General features: G+C 37.9%; 1 long non-coding RNA gene across 1 annotated transcript in view, besides 2 other annotated features; it reads left to right on the forward strand.

The window, feature by feature from the left end:
* Positions 1 to 20,494, forward strand: part of DLEU1 (deleted in lymphocytic leukemia 1) — a 446,475-nt gene that overhangs the window by 57,984 nt on the left and 367,997 nt on the right. The gene's annotated exons all lie outside the window — the stretch shown is intronic.
* Positions 732 to 1,405: an enhancer, noted in NCBI's record as "OCT4-NANOG hESC enhancer chr13:50715020-50715693 (GRCh37/hg19 assembly coordinates)". NCBI's record gives its function as "activates a minimal SCP1, AML or CMV promoter by ChIP-STARR-seq in primed H9 embryonic stem cells {active_cell/tissue: H9 hESC(primed)}" and the evidence as "EXISTENCE:reporter gene assay evidence [ECO:0000049][PMID:30033119]".
* Positions 12,866 to 12,915: an enhancer, noted in NCBI's record as "active region_7760". NCBI's record gives its function as "activates an Ori minimal core promoter by ATAC-STARR-seq in GM12878 lymphoblastoid cells {active_cell/tissue: GM12878}" and the evidence as "EXISTENCE:reporter gene assay evidence [ECO:0000049][PMID:35858748]".

Genomic DNA, 20,494 nt, shown 5'->3' on the forward strand with positions numbered 1-20,494 from the left:
AGGAAGGATATTAGTGGATTCAGTGGCTGCTGTTCATAATGCCTGCAGGACATTTTGAGTGTTTCCTTCCTGAGTTCAGAGCCTCATCCTCGCATCTCAATGAGACATTACCCTAGAACCTCTACCACCATGACTACCAGCACTTCTGAATTGAAACTGTCTTTGGCTGTCAATTTGCTTTGGGGACCTTTTCTAGAAGTTAAATTCATTTTTGTGGAGGCTAAAACTAGTCACTCGATCACATTTGTGATATGAGTCATGTTAGAATAAAGATCTAGAAGAGTGGTAGATCCTATCTAACTTGCACAATAGTAGAAAGTGAGGTACAAACAATATTTCTCCTAGTCCCTCTGAGTTCAATCTGGATTTGAGATTTACTTTTCATGATCTGACACAAAGTATGTGTGTGTATGTGTATTTTGAAAAATTTGGACAGGAGTCCCATATGATGTTGAATTAATCAAATATAAATACACACACACACACACACACACAGACACACACAAACACAGAGACACACACTTTATTCCATTAGGGAAAGTATGCTTTCTTTTTTTTCTTTGCTCACAAAACTGAGAAATTGGCAGAATATTTTACTTGTAACTTGGCAGTATTGCAATTTACAGACGAGAAAGGCAAGCCAAATTGGGTGAAAATTGTTTGAGATTTTTTTTCCCAGTTTTAGACAGTGAAAATCATGTAGCTGAGCGTGCACATTCAGCCGTTTTCTGCTTGATTTTTAACCGCGTTTGTTCATTGGCACTGCCAGAGCTAGTTACAACTTCCCGGTGCAAGCATGTGATGGCCAGGGGAAGGTGTGGGGATTCGTGGCTGTCCTCCCCATGCTGTTAATGTTAAAATAACTGTTGTTTGAATTGTTTTGAGATACTGATTAGAGAAATATGAAATGTGATATTATTTGAGCTTCATAAATCCATCTTAATTATCAATATATAAACACAGACTTAGGAGTGGGAGATCCAGATCAGACATGTTTACAGGCCTGAGCTTTTTCCGTGAGTTTCTGGAACATTGTGGTGCCTGAGACACAGCGGGAATCCGACGACTCTGAGAACGGACTTTCCCTTTTAAATGCTGGAGGCTTTGAAATCGTCTTCACAATGAGGGAGGATTCATGAAGTAATGAAAAGCTGTTTCCTCTTTAAAACGTTCAGACAGCAGCACAAACATCTGGGAATTTGTTTGAATATTTGGGTTCCCTGAATTACCCATTTCCTTAACATACATTTTACTTACTTTTCCAAGGGAGATACATTTCCACCTCATGTTTTTCCCAGTTTAGCTGTGTTAGGCTCTTCACTTTAGCATTTAGGTTGCTTTGTATTTAAGGACACAGGTTAAGGCCGTATTATGAAAGGTATGATTTGGGTTTGGGGGAGCAGGATGTTGTTATGCGTGAGGGGCAAAGTGATTTTTGTGTGTGATACAAGTTTCAATTACATCATGGTGTCATCCTTATAAATTAAATTTAAAAACAGTTGTGCCAAAAAAATAGCCACTAATGTTTCTTTTAAAAAATGATTAAGCAACAATATTTACTCAATATTTGAATTAAGCAAAACTGTCATCTTCTTTCTCCTTTTCAGAACATAATTCCTCTTTCAACTTCAGAAGTCATGAGACTTCCCTTTCTTTCTCCATTCTCTTCCTCACACTGCAGTGTCTCAAAGGGTGAAAATGTCTGTGTGTGGGAGAGGGTGGTGGTGGTAGGGCAGTGGTCAGAACATTCTGGAATCCAGGATAAGAAAAACCAGCTTGATTTCTGCACTTAGGACATTGTTGATGTTTATTTAGGGATGTGCTATCTGGATTGATGGAAAAATTTGGAAATACTTAAATATTTCGGTATGTAATATCGGATGATGAGACAGTGCAGCACTGATAGCTTCCTGGTTGTCAGTGTGGCTCTGTATCTCTGTTTTACTTGTCATATTTGTACTAAGACAGGTGTGGTTTTAAACGGTCAGTATTGAACTATTTTTGACTAATTAGATGCGTTACGTGTGACTTGCCAGTTTATAATTAGTTAACATATGATAAAAAATATGAGATATATTGATTGGTATAACTATACTAAATATAATTTAATCTAGTTGACTTTTTTAATAGGCATTTTAGGATACCACAATTACTGCTGTGAACTTCAATGGGTTATGAATGACAATTGTTACTCTGGAGCATCAGGCATGTAGAAAGTATAGGGATTGGGCTTAATACAAATTTAGTGGCATAACCTGGCAGTCGCCTATTTGATTATAATTCTGCTGTTATTCTGAATGCTGTTCATCTGCCCTTATCTCATACAAGTAGGTTGCAGAACATATTTTTAAAAATCTGGCCGGGCACAGTGGCTCATGTCTGTAATCCTAGCACCAATTCCGAGGTTGGAGGTTGGCCCGAGGTCAGGAGTTCAAGACCAGCCTGGGCAACATAGTTAGACCCTATCTCTACAAAAACTTAAAAAAAAATGAGGTTGGGTGTGGTGGCTCACGCCTGTAACTCCAGCACTTTGGGAGGTTGAGGCGGGCGGATCACAAGGTCAGGAGATCAAGAGCATCTTGGCTAACATGGTGAAACCCAGTCTCTACTAAAAATACAAAAAATTAGCCGGGTGTGGTGGTGGGCGCCCATAATTCTAGCTGCTGGGGAGGCTGAGGCAGGAGAATGGCGTGAACCCAGGAGGCGGAGCTTGCAGTGAGCCGAGATTGCCTCACTGCACTCCAGCCTGGGCGACAGAGTAAGACTCCATCTCAAAAACAAAACAAAACAAAACAAAACAAAACAAAACAAAACAAAACAACAAAAAAGAGCTGGGCGTGGTGGTGCACACCTGTAGGCCCAGCTACTCAGGAGGCTGAGATGGGAGGATCACTAGAGCCCAAGAGTTGGAGGCTGCAATGAGCTATGATTGTGCCACTGTACTCCAGCCTGGATGACAGAGTGAGACCCTGTCTCTCTAAAATAAATAAATAAATAAATAAAAATCTGGCTATATGAGCTGGCAAGTTTGTTTATTTACTTTAAAAGTTAAACAGCAGTTAATTGTGATTTGTGGATCACTTCTTCCCCATTGATTTAATCTCTGCTTGCTTAAATAAATTAAGGTACTGTATATTCTGGATTATACTTCCTCCGCCTCAAATTTAGGAATATTGTGAAGTGAGACTATGATACTTGACTGTGGAAAGGGATATATTTGTACCCCATTACCAAGTTTTCTTCTTGGTGTCTTTCTCTAGTTCAGATGGAACTATCATTTATATCTAGGTCTGATGAAATAAAACTGAGGGAGAGGGGCTTCCAGGTCCCCATTTCTTAAAACGTCATGTTGCCTGACATGAATGAATGCATAGCCACACTCTTGTTCTCTGAATCTGTCAGTCAATTATGTGCATAGTTCGCAACTAGGACGGGATGTCCTGTGAAGAAAAGATAGGCATTAAGCCCCTGTAAGTATGAGGATTGCTTGCGACATGTCCCAAGCAATTGTAGTTCATCGCTGAGATCAAGAATGACATGTTTGGCTGGGCTCGGTGGCTCACACCTGTAATCCCAGCACTTTGGAAGGGTGAGGAGGGCAGATCACCTGAGGTCTGGAGTTCAAGACCAGTCTGGCCAACATGGTGAAACCCCATCTCTACTAAAAATACAAAAATTAGCCACACGTGGTGGCTCACTCCTGTAATCCCAGCTACTCAGGAGGCTGAGGCAGGAGAATCATTTGAACCCGGGAGGCAAAGGTTGCAGTGAACCGAGATTGCGCCATTGCACTCCAGCCTGGGTGACAGAGTGACTCCGTCTCAAAAAAAAAAAAAGAAAACATGTTTGGCTTTGTGGTACAAAGCAAAGTTTTCATTAGCAAAGGTGAAAGTGCCCAATATCCTGTTATATCAAACTCGATTGATTAATGAGAGGGATGAAGGTTATGGATGTTTTTGTTTGTTTTGGAGGGTGTGTATGTGTGTAGGGGATGTTTAATGTGAGTCAGGCAGTGTGAGAATAGTTTCTGGGGTCTGGTCCCATTGAGAACAACCTGATTCTGGTAATCTTTGAATATCATTTAACACATTACGTGGCTCTTAATAAATGGGTCTGCTTCATAGTTACAATAGAAATTGACCCCTCTGCCATGTGGTCCCCTCCTTCCCTCCATTTGGCCTTTTATCCTTGGATTTGGGTCACAACCTTTGGGGAAGGGTGGAAACAAAGCAGAACTGGCAATTATCCCAGTGATCTGGATTCTAATTAATTAAGGCCTACTTTTTTTCTCCTTTTTTGGAGAATTGTGCCTGTAGGCATTTTGTGGGAAGGATGCCTTTCTTATTGAATAACTATACCTCAAGCTTTTTTTTTTTTTTTTTTTTGGACCCAGGAAGGGATATAAAAAATAATTAGTTATGAGGGGCACCACTGAAAGTAGAAGATTTACACTCAAGCCAGGAATTTATTTGCATATCAAATAAAGGACAGAGTCATGCATGATGTCTCAGAATCTCTAGTTATCCTAATCAGTAAAGAAAATGAAACCAGATGTGTTCATTTCAGCTTTGAATTGTGTTACTATTAGAATAAAAATTAAGTTCCCTTAAGTATCCTTTTAGGTCAAATCTAATCATTTCTCTAGATATAATTCTCAGAAAAGCCAGTGGCATTTTGATAGTGGAACCTGGTATTTTGCTGGACTTAACAGTTCTCTGTGAAGCTACATACAAATTTTATCCATTGACCATTATGCTGTACATTTCTTAAAGTGCTATTTTTGTTGTGGTTTCAGTGATTCTCATCCGAAACATAGCTGCATCATGTCATGGAAAAACACTGGACTGGGAGTTAGAATCATTCTCCTCTCAGCTCTTCCATTAAATGAAAAGATTTGTGCTTTTGGAAAATCACTTTAACTCTTTGGACTTCAGTTTTGTTGGCCTGCTACATAAGGTCTCTACCATCATTGAACAGTTTAGGTCTTTATTAGAACATGCACAACATAGTGAGCTAAATTGCAAACTCATCTGTAAAAATTTGACATCTTAAGCTTCAGAGTAACCCTGCTTAGTATTTAAAAGCAAATGTCAATGTCAGAAGGTTGAAGTCCTAACAGTATTAGAAAAGCAAATGCCATCAACTTATTGAACCTACAGTTTTTAAAAATTTGTGTCTTAATAATATTTAATGTTTTTATCCGTTATACTGGTAATCCATGTTCACTGAGAAAGTTTATAAAACTCAAAAAAAATCGATCTTAATCTCACCACTCAGAACTAACTAGCAATATTTTGATGTTTCCATTCCTTTTGGTTCTCTGTATTTCTCTTATATTCTATGCCATGTATGATTTATTTTTACAAAGTTGGAATCATAGTTTTTCTATCATTTGTTTGTTTGTTTTTTGTTTGTTTTCTTTTTGTTTTTTTTTAGAGGGAGTCTCACTGCAATGCCCAGGCTGGAGTGCAATGATGTGATCTCGGCTCACTGCAACCTCTGCTTCCCAAGTTCAAACGATTCTCCTGCCTCAGCCTCCTGAGTAGCTGGGATTACAGGAGCGTGGCACCATGGCTGGCTAATTTTTGTATTTTTAGTAGAGATGGGGTTTCACCATATTGGCTAGGCTGGTCTGAAACTCCTGACCTCAAGTGATTTGTCTGCTTCAGCCTCCCAAAGTGCTCAGATTACAGGCGTGAGCCACCGCGCCCGGCTGTTTCTGTTTTTTTCACTTGGGGAAACATTGTGAGTTGCTTCCCATGTCTTTATTCCAAAAGATGGTTTTTAAAGGCTTTTAATTTTTGTTTTTGAATTACATATACTTATATATAATTATAATTATATATATGTAGTTTTATTTTATGAAGCAGAAAATTAAACTTTCTCTCTCCCTGCATTCTGCCAACCCACTCTCTCTTTCTCAGTCACATTCCCTGTAGGGAAGTCCATTTATAGTTTGAGGTATATTCTTAAGGTCCGTAATAGATGTAAGTATATACATGTAATAGATGTAAGTATATACGTGTAATAGGTGTAAGTTCATAAATGTAATAGATGTAAGTATTTAAATATGTATGTATGGCCATATGTGAGAGTTTTTTACTTAAATCAGGCCATTCCATTCACACTACTCTGCACTCTGTGATCTTTCATGCTGCATTACTGGGAGTGAGGAGGTATTTTCTAGTTAATATCTACTGCCCTAGCTAGTTCACAGTAATGGCTCCACAGTGATTCCCACTATGGATGTCTGTTTTTTTTTTTTTTTTTCTTGATGGAGTCTAGCTCTATTGCCCAGGCTGGAGTGCAGTGGTGTGATCTTGGCTCGCTGCAACCTCTGCCTCATGGGTTCAAGCGATTCTCCTGCCTCAGCCTCCTGAGCAGCTGGGATTACAGGTGCATGCCACCATGCCCGGCTAATTTTTTTGTATTTTTTAGTAGAGATGGGGTTTCACCACATTGGCCAGGCTTGTCTTGAACTCCTGACCTCATGAACCACCTGCTTCAGCCTCCCAAAGTGTTGGGATTACAGACATGAGCCACCGCACCCGACCGGATGTCTGTTTTTATTTAATCAATCACCTATTGCTGGACATTGTGGTTGGTTGAAGTTATTTTATTTTGTTTTAAAAAGGGTTGCATAATATCTTGTATCCAAATCTTTGGGTGCATCTTTGATTATTTCCCTAGGATGAAGTCCTGAGTCCACTGGGACGTACGTGTGGCTTTTGATATTGCCAGTTTCCCTACAGAAAGGTCATCCTGTTTTACATTCCTGTAAAATGTGTATGAGAGGCCCTTCTCTGACCTTTTCCCACTCTGAACTAGTCAAAACTTAAGGCACATTTTTCATCATTATTGTACCAGTTTTTATCTCAATTTGAGTCCAGGACATTCCTTTCAGAGTATGGGGAAAAAGGTCATCCAGATTCTCTGGTGCCTTGATCATCTTTGACTTTTCTAATGAGACTTTGTAAAGAATCCTGGGAAGTTATAAGTTCCACTATACGGTATTTCTATTTTTATTTGTCATGATGAACTCATAGATTAATAATTTATTCCTTTTCTTAAATTTAGAAACTAGCTGACTTAGATTTCCTCTCTTATTAAAATATAAAGTCCTTTGGGAATGGTAACATATTATCGAACGTTGTGATTTGTATTCCAGGAACTAGAGTCTGTTTTGATTGAGCGTCTAAAAATCCTTGTTAGGGAGGGAGGAGAAAAGTGCCCAAGATCAGTGGGTAGGGCCCCTGGTCCTAGGGAAAGAGTCATTGTTGATTTACCACCATTAGTAATAAGCCATTCATTAAATCCATGAAGACAAATCATGTGTTACATTTTAGTTGTAAGTTTCTTGATCTTTAGATTTTGTGACTCTGAAGATACACTTCAGTTATTGCTATGCTTTTTTTTTAAGGAAAGAAAGTTCACAAATAGGCAATGTTTTGATATATGGCCAATACCATTTTAATATAGCACTCCACTGTGGGGGTTCAGTTTATGACAATGGAATACAGCCATAACTAGTCACAAAGGAACCGAGATCATGATATAATGGGGAACAGGTACAACCCTAATGCAGGATGCTTGCATTAGATTCTTGGCCCTGTGCAATTAGTATCCTGAATTACTCTAGGCAGGTAACTTAGGTCATGACAATACATGCTTTATATACTTCTAATAAATAGCACTGTAACCAAGCAGTTCAAAGTGGGCTCCTAACACTCCATGACATCTTCATTAGATCAGATGATCACAATACAACTGGATAAAAAGATCACCTTGTCACTGCATTCAGTTTGTGCTGTACAGATAGGCCTTTTATTCCTCTGTCTTAATTTTTCCATCTACAGAAAAATATTGGTGCCAATATAACATGAGATTCAGAAACTGACTTTTTGTCTTCATTTACTCAGCAAATGCTTATTTGAACATGGCTATGTCGACTATGTGCCAGGTCCTGTGCTATCCACTTCAGTTTACAGTGGTGGGAGTCAGAGGAGTCAGGCCAGAAGACACATAAAAGGAGCCCACTCTACATCTGGCACCCCTGGATTCTACATTGCAATGTAAATGTCCCTGTCAAGACCTTCACTACCTCCTGCTCTGCAGCAGGAGGTAAGAGCCCATCTGTGCAATTTGCTGTCCGACTTTCTTTCAGTACCTGGAGGTTGGAAGGGGGGAAAAAAGCAAACTTTGGGTATCAAAAATATCCCTCTCCTTATCAATCTTGATTTCTGAATTTCATTATGGTGTTAATACCATTCGTCATTTATTATACAGATGGCAACAATTTGTTTTTGATAAGCAACTCAGTGCCTTTCAATCAGTGGCTAAGACCAACTCGTTGAACACAATGGGATGGTTAATTAAAGACACATTTTAAATACACACACAACTCACAGATGTATGCAGGGACATGCATACAACTGTTAAGGCAGCCTGCTTTGGTCCTGAAGAATATAATTTGATTTACAGTTGAGAAATACAAACTAAACTCTGTTTGGGGAAAAATTATGCCCTAAAAAAATGACTGGGGTAGAAATACTGTATTTGAGAAATGAGAACTTTAAAACACTCCACTTTGTCTTTGTTAAAATGGGCGTAATAGAAGTAGAATTTTGCCAAGATGTTTAACCTTATTGAGGCCACAAAGTAGGAAAGGTTTCATTTTTAATTTTGCAAAACCCAACTTTCTTTCTTCCTCTTTATTTCCTTGTTTTCCTCCCATCTCCCTCCCTCCTTCCTTCCCACCTTCCTTTCTTCTTTCCTTCTGTCTTTTCTTCTATCTTTCCTTCCTTTTTTCTTTCTCTGTACTCTCCTGTCATAATCAAGAGTAAAAAGTTTAACTTTATGCATCTGAATACATTTATTCATGGATTCTTATTTAATAAAAATAGAAAAAAAAACACTCGTAAAGAAAACTCTTGGTGAGTTACAAATGGCACGCTTCCTTTGGGGCGCAGGAACTCAGGGTGCTCTTAAACACCTTGACATTTTCAGGACTTTCTGCCACCTGGGATTTAGATCAAAACTGCAGTGCGTGTCAGACCATCTCAGAACAAGGAATGTTTGTCTCAGACATTATTATGCCCTATCTCTTGATGAAAGACTGGGATAGAGTCAAATCATGTGTCTTGGTGTTTGTTTAATATTTGTGTTCCGCATTTATTAGCTGATGAGTTACTGGAGATTTGCATTCTTCTGAGTCAGCCAGTATGACCTATTTTATTGCAGTCTAAAGTTGTACTGAAGGGTGCCTTGGAAAACATGTTCTCCAAATGTTGGTCAAGACTGACATTCACAGAATTTAAAGCTGGATGTAATGTTATCCAATGACAGCTTCGGAAATATGATGACTCTGCAAGAAATCAGGGGAAATTCAGAATGGCTGTTAAGACCACTCCTAAGACTATCTTGACTATGTGAATTCTTTCTCCAGTTTTTTCTGTGTCATCCCAGCTTGCCATCTCTAGCTCCTGCTTCACAGGCCTCGAACTACCTCTCCAGTCCACTTCAGTGCCTTAACAGCTCAGATTTCACTTCCAGTAGTCTAGGGCTTTTACATAAATTAGAGCAAGAAGAGAATACAGTGGGGAGAACAAAACTGATTAAAAGGTTGGAAAAATAAGACTTATGAAGAAAGGTTAAAGGAGCTAGGATTATTCAGCTTGGAAAAGAGAAACTAGTGGGTGGCTTAATAAAAGTTTTCAAGTATATGAAAGGTTATTATATGGAGACTGGCGACCAGCTGTTCTCCTGCCGCTGAGAAGAGAACAAAAGGAAATTATCTTTAACTTCTGCAGCGGGGAGCTAGCTTGGAAATAAAGGATTTCCCAGTGGTGAGGTTTGTTAAACATTAGAATGCATTACCATGGCATCTCTTTTTCTGGAGATCTTTGGAAATAAGACAGGGACTGGTGTGGAAGGGATGGTTTAGATAGGTGGAGGCTTGCCTAAGTTACTGGAGAATCAACCAGATGACCTGTGGAAGCTCTTTGCTGGTCCTTTGAGTCTACACCAAGCCAACTGGACCTCAGCCAGAAAAGATATGGAGAAGAGCCAGGCTAGTTCATGCCTTTGACTGTTTCAGCAGAGGCAGAGCCAGTGTTCACCTTGTCACAGGCTTAGTTTTCTTGATATCTAATTGTTATTTGGTGGTAAGTAGTGATTGGAGCAGGGATGGGAAGGAGGTTAAAAAATTCAACCAGCTAAAACATACATAAGATCTCCCTCAAAGAATATTTCAGTGAGTAAGGGTGAGGCCTATGAAATATGAAGTGCCCTTGTAATTTTTTTTTAAGACTTCAAACGTTTTTCCTCAACACTATACCTTCTATGTGTTCATGTAAACTGCTCCTTTAAGCTTTTGAGATATAGAAGTGTATGTGTGTCTCTAAAAAATGGAAGAAGTGTTCCATTTAGTTCTTATTAATAAATGGATAAGGATTATGGGATTTTGGACTCAGATGGAATGTTGGAGAGATCATTTAGTTTAACACAGTGGATGAGTTTTTCTGGACTTCTAGGCTTAATAATCCCAAAATTATATTGCCATGACATAAATATAGTATTATACTTACCACAAGAATTTAAGTATAATATAATCATGTTAACAAAAACATCTCAGTGCATTTATTATTTTTGTCAAACAATATGTTAGTAAAATATTTTTCAAAGAATTGAACTCTGTTTTTTAAATTTAGTTCATTATTTAGACATAACCTAAAAGATGTTGACAATACATTCCTTTTTTTTTTTAGATTGAAGCGTTTTTTAAATTGTGGTAAAAAATTCCACAATATTAAATTTACTATCTTAACTTTTCTTTTTTTTTTTTAAATTGAAACAGGGTCTCACTCTGTTGCCCAGGCTAGAGTGTAGTGGTACGAACATGGCTCACTGCAGCCTTGACCTCCTGGGGTCAAGTGATCCTCCTTCCACCACAGCCTCCTGAGTAGCTGGGACTGCAGGCACATGCCCCCAGGCCTGGCGAATTTTTTAATTTTTTGTACAAATGGGGTCTCTCCATGTTGCCAAGGCTGATCTTGAACTCCTGGTCTCAAGCGATCCTCCTGCCTTGGCCTCCAAAACTGCTGGGATTACAGGCATGAGCCACTGTGCCTGCCCATTTTAACCATTTACAATGTATATTTCACTAGTGTTAAGTATATTCATATTGTTGTGCAGCAGATCTCTAGACCTTTTTCAATACGCAAAACAGAAACTATATCCACTAAACACCGATTCCCTCTCTCCTCCCTGCCAGCCCTTAGGAACTCCCTTTCTACTTTCTGTTTGTATGATTTTAACTACTTTATATACTTCATTTGAGTGGAATAATACAATATTTGTCCTTTGAGACTGGCTTGCTTTGCTTTGCGTAATATCTTTGTGGATTATATGGTAGTTCTATTTTTAATCTTTTTGAGGGAACTCCATACAGTTTTTCATAATGACTGCACCATTTTACATTCCCACCAACAGTGCACAAAGATTCCAATTTCTCCCCATCCTCACTAATACTTGTTATTTTCTGTTCTTTTGATAGTGACCATCTTAATGAGTGTGAAGTGATATCTTATTGTGGTTTTGATTTGCATTTCTCTTATGATTAGTGATGCTGAGTATCTTTTCCTGTGCTTGTTGGTCATTTGTGTATCTTTTTTGGAGAAATGTCTATTCAAGTCTTTTGTACATTTTTAAATCAGGTGTTTTTTTTGTTGTTGTTGTAAAAACACAAGTTTCTTAGATATTCTGGATATTAACCCCTTATCAGATATATGATTTGTGAATTCTCCCATTCCATAGGTTATCTTTTCATCTTTTGGTTGTTCCCTTTGAATGCACAGAAGTTATAAATAATTTACTAAGCTTTAAGTATTGAAATTTGAATCGAGGTTAAAAATTTTCTTGATTACTTCAAACATATTATTTCAATAAAACCACAAAAGGTATTGATTCAGTATGAATCACTGATTATGAACACACACACACACACACACACACACACACACAAGCAAACATAAACCTTTTATTCCTGAACAGTTATAAGAAAAGATTATACTACTTCAGTTGTTATCCTAGAGATTTTTCTTTCAACTATTTAAGAAGTTTGAGATTAGACTGTTTTAAACTTCTGATACCATTCTACAAAAATGTGATTAAAGAAAATGAAAGTAACTTTTACTGTGCAGCGTCAGAATAATGAACATGGTGTATTCTTTCTCTTTTAATCATTTCATTTAATGCTTCATTCACAAAGATTCTTAAAGAAGCAACCACAGTGAGGACGTGCTTTGGCAGGCAAGGAGAGGACTTGCACTCTGTCTCCCACTCCACTGTCTAACTTTGAACTATTAATGTAAATCCCAGAAACCTGAACTGTTACCATTTCCTTGCCCAATAGGGGTAACCAGACCTATTCTCACTAACTTGGTGAATGTCCGAAAAATACATAGGTCAGTCTGATATTTTTGGGACTTCCTAAATTTTCTTTGCTTTTGCAAGACACTCAGATCTATACAGCCTAATTTGTTTTTACGAACACTAGCAGAGTACTTCAGGTTGGAGTTTTTGCCTAAAGAATATAACAAATGGGGAGTAAGTTGGAGAAACCAGAGGGAGCCTGGTGCTTCTGGCACAGGTAACACAGTTAACTGAAGTCTTTTGGCTTCACTAACAATGGCCACCTGAAGCTTGGCCAACCCTCTGTATATGCCCTTTCTCTAATCAGAAAGGTCATATGCCACGGAAGATTTTTCTCAGTTTTTAAAAATCCCCTGGCTGGTTATCCTGATTCCTTAAAACAGTTTTTTGAAAGTAACAAAAGTAGAATGTTTGATGCATTTTATGAGTCCATGGTAAAGTTAGATACATGTGCATATGAACACGTGTTCTTAAGACTCCTGTGTAGTCAAGAGAGCTGAGTGTTCAGAACTCAAAGTTGGCCTAATAAAAGACACCAGACTATAGTACTTGCTTTGTTTGTTCCGTTTGACTGAACCAAATGTCTTCAAGTTTCGTTTTCAATTTTTATCGTAAAAACCGTGAAAAGCAAGGTGTTTGCTTACTGCTGGGATTTGATTCCATCTTAAAGACCTGGAGCAGAAGTTTATATGGATTTCAGAAAGCAGCTGTTTTATGTGCATACATAGTACAAGGTAGAAAAATGTAATGTAACCCAGTAAGATTAAATAACAGCATAACAAAAACTTAAAAAATTCAAAGTTGAATATGTAGTACACCTCTCACAGTGGAAGTCCTGGCTTTTAAGAAATTGCTGCAAGCATTTAACATGAGAAATCTGTGAATGTTCATTCCTAGCAGAAAAAAGATCGGATATGATTGTAGGTTTCTGTGTTGTTGCTCATATTGAGCCAGCTATTCATGTATTCAGATTCATGGGAGAATTTCTAGCATGAGTTCTGTCTGGTATATCACTCTGTGTTATGGTTTCTCTATCTACCTTTACAATGCACATCCTGTTGATTCTACTTATTATGGCAGAATAAGGAAATATATGTGCATTACGATAGTGCTATTGATATGCACTTGATACTCTGGCTAAGATAAACATAAATCAGGTAAAGCCAAGTGTATTTTAGCCTTTAAACTGGGATATGCATTCCCCACCTGCTCAGACTGAAAACTGTCTTGTAGGATTAAGAGGATGGGGAGGGTGCATGGAAAATTATTTTTTAAAGGAAGAGGAATAATATGTAGAGTTAGGAACATTATAGACTGTTAAAGGACCAATGTTTCAATGCAAATGACCTCCAAGTTATATAAAAGCCCTGTGTATGATATGTTTATTGTTATTAGTTTTTAGCCTTTGCAGTCTTCGGAGACTTTGCTGGCCTGGATTTCGAGTTTAGTAGAGTACATTCAGCTGCATTGTGCATTTCAGCTCTATGGAACCGTTGTGCTTCGTCCCTGTTTACCTCATCCTGTGGGCAAGCATCTGCTTTTGCGTCTTACTTCTTAGAACTGCAGCTGGATTTCTGGAATTCTGTGGCTGTGTGGTATTTTCTCCTGCATATTAATAAGATTAAATTGACCAAAAGGTTTCTTTTTTCCTTCAAAAATTTTCCTAATATTTTTAGAGTATGAAGATTATATAGCTTTATTGTAAAAATATTCAAGCAGTATTGAAAAATATAAAGATCAATAATAACAACAGTCCCAGAGATAACCACTAGTAGTATAACATATTGGTGATCATCCTTACAGATGACTCTCATAAAGATCAATACTAACAACAACAATCCTAGAGATAACCATGGGTAATATAACATATTGGTGGTCATCTTTACAGATGATTCTCAATGCATATATATTCACATATAAATATATATAAGTAAATATATACATACTCTTACAAAATGAAAAAATACAATACAAACTTTTGTAACCTTTTCCATACTAATCACTATAGATCTACATCATTATTTTAATGGATGCATTATATATATTGTATATAGAATACTATCTGGCACTCAGTAGGCCCTCAACCAATGGTTGAATGAATGAGCAATAATTTATTTAACCAATCTTCTATTAGTGGACATAATTTATTTTCTGTTTTTCACTATTATAAATCACATGGCAATTAATATGTTTTTGCATCTTCTTTGTTCACATGTACAATTATCTGTTTAAGGAAACCTTAAAAGTTGGGTCAAAAGGTGGAAACATTTAACAATTTGATAGTGATAAACTTGCTGAGTTGGCTGAGTTTATGCTCAAGTCATACAAATTTACATTATCATCAGCAATACACAAAGGTGTTTGTTTCCGCACATTCCCCTGCATGCCTACATTGCTGTCAGTCTTTTAGAGTTTGCCATCCTGATAGAAAAATTGCTGTACTGGTTTTCCTTGCATTATTTACATTACAAGCAAGGCTGAGCATCTCTTTGTATATTTATTGGCCATTAGGTATTTCTTTTATGCATTGTCTGTTCTTTGTCCAGTGGTTTTGTCTTGAAACACCAGAGACCTATTTTATCTTAATGAAGTCATTTACTTTTATAATTCTATCATATGCCCCCAAACAGGGAAAGATGCATCTTTTAGGTGGGTATACTGATAAGTGAACTTGTGTGGACCCGTAGTTCTCATTTGTCAGAGGTAGCAACGTAGGGAATTTGAATATTTTTACCTCTAGGTCGGTGTCTTTTTTTTTTTGTTTGGAGATGAAGTCTCACTCTGTCACCCAGGCAGGAGTGCAGTGGTACGATCTCAGCTCACTGCAACCTCCACCTCCCAGGTCCAAGCGATTCTCCTGCCTCAGCCTCCCGAGTAGCTGGGATAACAGGCATGCGCCACCACACCTGGCTAATTTTTTTTTTTTTTTTTTTTGTATTTTTAGTAGAGACAGAATTTCACCATGTTGGCAAGGCTGGTCTCGAAATCCTGACCTCAGGTAATCTGCCTGCCTCAACCTCCCTAATTGCTGGGATTACAGGCATGAGCCACCGTGCCCAGACCCAGTGTCTTTTTGTGTGAGGACCACTACTAAAGTTTTAAGAGATTTCTTAAAAAGGCAATCGTCATTCTGAGGCAAAGATTACCAACATCTGGATTCCAAAAAGTGGGGAAAAATCAGTTATTCATATATATTAAAATGACACACTTCATTTCCAACTACCAAGTACAATGTTCACCTTTATTCTGTTTGTTTTCGCTTTGTCGTGCTACTGAAATATGTGTGCATGTGTATTTAACCAAAGAGAAACTCACTCCTAACCCCATATTTAGTGGTGGGACCATCCCTTATTTAGTGAGGCTGTTTTTTTTCCCCCCAGACCCGAGTTGTTGTTGCCCATGCTGCTGAATTCCCAATATGAATAAATCATAATCATATGATTATACTAAATCAGAGGTTTCAGTACCCTTCCACAAAGTGACAATAAAATGCTCATTAAAAAAAAGAGTAGGTTGTGTTCAATGGTGTTAATTTAAAATTTTAATGCTCAGGCCAAAATGCCAGAAAGTGAACCTCAGTTTCTTGGTAATAATAAGGTGAACTGGCTTCCAGCAGAGAGATTTTGTGGCTTCTGTATCCTGCCGCTGCACTTCTCCCTTCTCCAGCCTCCTTTCTATTTGGTGGTGCAGAATCACCTTGGTCAGCCCTTTGACCTTGCCTGGAAAAAAGTCCTCATCAGTGAGTGAGTGTGAGGTTAGAGTGATAAAGATTCTAAAGGAATGCCTTGTTTTGATTCAAATAGTTGGATTAGTCACAGAGTTACTTAATCCACACACATAGTAGAATCCTCCAGCAAGCTTCTTTGTTTTCATCAGAGCTTTTGAGAGATTATTATATTATATCTCTATCTTTTAAAGATAGAGTAGAAATCCATCTATGAAGAATAGTTTTAGGTGCATTCCTGCCTGAACACACATTTGGACAGTCTTATAATTATGTATCTTCCCGAGATGCATTTTGAGCCATTTCTACCCAGAACTTAAAAAAATATTTCCTATGAGTGCTGGAGGTTCTTGCTTCTCTTAACCCACTAACTTTTTGAAGCCATAAGAATATCTTATTAAGGATTATGCAAAATAACGTCCTACAAATCCTGATATTATTACACTGCCCAAAAAACTTCAAAGCATCAGGAAAGTGTTGTGTTTTTTTTTTTTTTTTTTTTTTTTTAACTAAACCAGATTCAGCTGGCTACCCCACTTGGCTACAGAGTACTAAAGAAGAGACTGAACTTGATCCTGCTGCCCTTGCATACACAACACTCCCATTGACGCTAGTGAAGACTTAAGCGCATGAAAGGATTCCAGGATCAAAAGGTTAGCTCTATGGGGAGCTGTGTCTGGCTCAAGCAATCCATTTTTTTCTATTGACAGTGAAAACGTTTTATAGTTCTTTTTCAAAGTTTTCCCAAACTTTTACAATAACAGGCAACTTGTGAAAAAGTGAGAAGGCATCTAATTGAACTATATCCAGAGGAGATCATGGCAGAGACCAACAGGAAGAAAAACATTTCCAAACCACAGCGATATTGGTCAAATCAATTGTATTTGAAGAATAAAGCATTTGAGGCGTCGGCTGAGAAAAATTTTCATTATGAAACTTGGTTGGACTATGAAGCAGAATGTGAGATAAAATAAAACACAGAGCTCATGAGTTTTTATCTTTGTCTGCTAATGACTTATGCTAGCAGGATTATACTTTTTTTTTGCATTTTATGAGATGTATGAACTAGGAAGAAAATACATGCTATATCTAAATGGATTAGACGTGCAGATTCTTAACTAACATTTAATTCATTGCTAGTAAAACAAATGCCTTAAAACATTTAAAAAAGTGAAATTATCTTAAGGAGATAATTAACAAGCAGAGTAGAATAGCATTTTTGAAGAAAGTGTAATATGGTTCTACACTGGCATTTTCTGCATTTATTGAAGATACTTAGTCTATCCAACAATTCACTCATTCATTCTTTCATGAAACCCTGTCTCTACTAAAAATACAAAAAAAAATTAGCTGGGCACGGGGGTAGGCCCTTGTAGTCCCAGCTACTCGGGAGGCTGAGGCAGGAGAATGGCGTGAACCCGGGAGGCAGAGCTTGTAGTGAACCAAGATCGCGTCACTGCACTCCAGCCTAGGTGACAGAGCGAGACTCCGTCTCAAAACAACAACAACAACAACAACAACAACAACAACAACAACAAATTTCTTTGTGCACTTACTATATGCCCAATGCTAATCTAATAGTTTTACAAGACCTCAATTGAACAAGTGTCTGAGGAAATGGATTGCATCTAATAAAGCAAGACACACCAACTGTGGATGGGTGGTGTGTCTAGAGTATTTTGCATTCCTAAATCACTCTTCTGGAGAAAATTTGTATCAATAATTTTGTCTAGCTTCACCTGGAGTTACACATTTTGATTGGTAAGTGGCTTCTGTGATTTGCCTCTTAGAAATACATTATAATGTTATCCTAATATATGTACTAGGACAGACAATGCTACGTTGAACTAACTTGAATAGCATATTTTATAATCATAAAACTGATATAATATTATAGTTTTGATCTTAATCCTCCTCTATTGTATGAGCAATGGAAAGTCTTGGTGAGGAGCTTGTCTAAACATTTCTCTTGCATTTTCACATAATTGGGCTTGACAGTTTCCTGCCATTGTATAGGATAACTTCAGTTGATGGTGATCATGTTTTTGCTTAAGGGTCATTGAATTGTATTAGAAATTTTATACCATATTCTTGTAATCCTATAAGTCATTTTTGAGTTACATTATTGAAAGTGAACAATAATGTACCACAAAACAAAAGTTACTCATGCAGTTAAAGCTTTTTTTTGTACCTAGGTTTAGAAACTACAAGTCCACAGAGAATAGGGCTCGTGAAATAAATGAAAATACACGCTCATCTCCACCCACTCCTTGTTGTTGGGGCCTGGTCAGATCTGGTGAAAACATTAAGCCATTTGCCTTAAGTGGTATTGGCAAGTTAATTTATTCACCTTCTGGAAGGTACCAGGCTAGTGCTTGCAGAGGCAAGATTTTTTTTGGGTGAAGGGAGCAAACTTTTCCACTTAACATGTGCCCATGGAAATCAGGTACTTCTTTTTTCAGCTACCTTAGCTTCTGTTGGGAATTTGAGGGTGTTTTATGGGTTATGTTCTTATACGGTGGTTAAGTAGGCTTGCTGAAATGGATCTAGAAAAGACCCAGGTCAGTCACTGGTTGAAAAAGGGTTGACAGAAAATTAAGGAGATATGACTGAGAGCAGTTTCTCTTTCAGGTCCCCAAATTTCTCCTCTAGCCAATTCACATTAAGGTCTGAAATTTCCCCCATTGGTGTCATTCCGGCCATTGTTTCCAGAAGGGACTTTCAAAAATGCAAATATGTTCCTGTGGAGCATTTGCACATTTGGTGAGTTTGTCAGCCTAAATGAGCAGTTATCTTTGGAACTAAGAAAGAAGGGTCTTAACAGAGAACCAGGTTGGAGGAAGAAAGATCCTGAGAACATTCATGGGAGGTAGGCCAGGGGAAGACATACAGCATGAAACTTTGGCAGTTTAGAAACAAGGGGGATAACTCTTGTTAAGAGAGCTTAAGGGTCACAGAAGACAAATATAGGTCATTTCACAGCCTAATTTGGAGTTTGATCTTCACAGTAGCTCTTTATGGGAGATCAGAAGGCCTTAGCTCAGGTATGGGGAAAAGACTTCCTGTGAAGTCTTTATTCTGCTTGATCAAGGCTGCTTGAGGGTGTCAAGGGGTTCAAGAGAAGTTCTGAGGCCAAGTTCAAACTCAAGGGAAATAATTCTCTCATTTCATGATTTGTGCCATGGATCCATGAAGGAGTGGTCATCACGACCTCAGACTCTGCTGCATTTTTGGAGGGTTTAGTAAGTCGGCAATGGCAGTGACAGCTCAGTCCAGTTCTCACAGTGTGAGAAGAACTTGGGACATCCAGCTAATGGATCTACAAGAGTTCCAGGTGGCCCTGAAGAACTTCAGCACTTCTCCTTGCATATTTGTATTAACCTGGAAAATTGCTTCTTGAAGAGAAAAGGAAGTGATATTTTTAGAACAGGATCAGTATTTCCAGCACATTTATTAATGGGCTAGCTCCTCAGTGTTTACATGGCAACAGGATAAACTATTATTAGTACTGCTCACATCATGAGGTATCAGGATGTTTTTTGGCGTGGTAGACCATCTATTCAGATGAGGAAGTAGAGTGCATCCATTTATGAATTTATTGTTGACATTTCAACTGTAATTCTTTCTCAGTTTCTTCCCTAATGTCAGGATACAAATTTTCATATCCTTGAGAGAGGATTTTTTGGGAGGGGCAATAAAGACAAATTTTAAAATTGAAAATAAATAAACTGGCAATCCCATAAAGCTCTTGATCATATTTAGACCAGTGAGTGTTTCCTGAATGTTTTTGATGTTTCTGATCCTGTGCTGAGCACTGTGGGGGATGCAAATGAAAGAAATAATACATGGTTTCTACCCTCAAGGAACTTATAATTTATTAAGACACATAAGGCACTTGAACCAGTTAAATAATGAGAAAAGACAGTATATGACACATAAATGCTTTAGAAGTTTAGAAAAAGGAAGGAACAGCAGGGTTATTTAAAGAGCTAAAATTCCTGTAGCTTGCTTCTCTTACTTTATTGGTGGATGACTCCAAAACTCTGTAAGAAGGGGAATAGGGAGAATGGAAGGAGTCTTACCCATCTCTTACTTCCTTATGCAATGTTGTTCATGTACAGTCAGTGTCTACGGAAACTTGAGGACTGATGGGAAAATTATTTTCAGAAATGGAGGTGAATGAAAACAGTCATGGTGGAATATTTTCCAACCATAACTCTTGCCTTCTGTTCATCCATCCGCTCAGAGAGCCAAGTGTACGTATGTAGTCTTCTAGCTACTAAATTCCATTCCTAGATAGTCATAGGTCTTCCAAGGCCCAAAGGCTTACCTTGATTT

The sequence above is a fragment of the Homo sapiens genome, chromosome 13 (assembly GCF_000001405.40).
Source record: "Homo sapiens chromosome 13, GRCh38.p14 Primary Assembly".
In the NCBI taxonomy this organism is placed as follows: domain Eukaryota; kingdom Metazoa; phylum Chordata; class Mammalia; order Primates; family Hominidae; genus Homo; species Homo sapiens.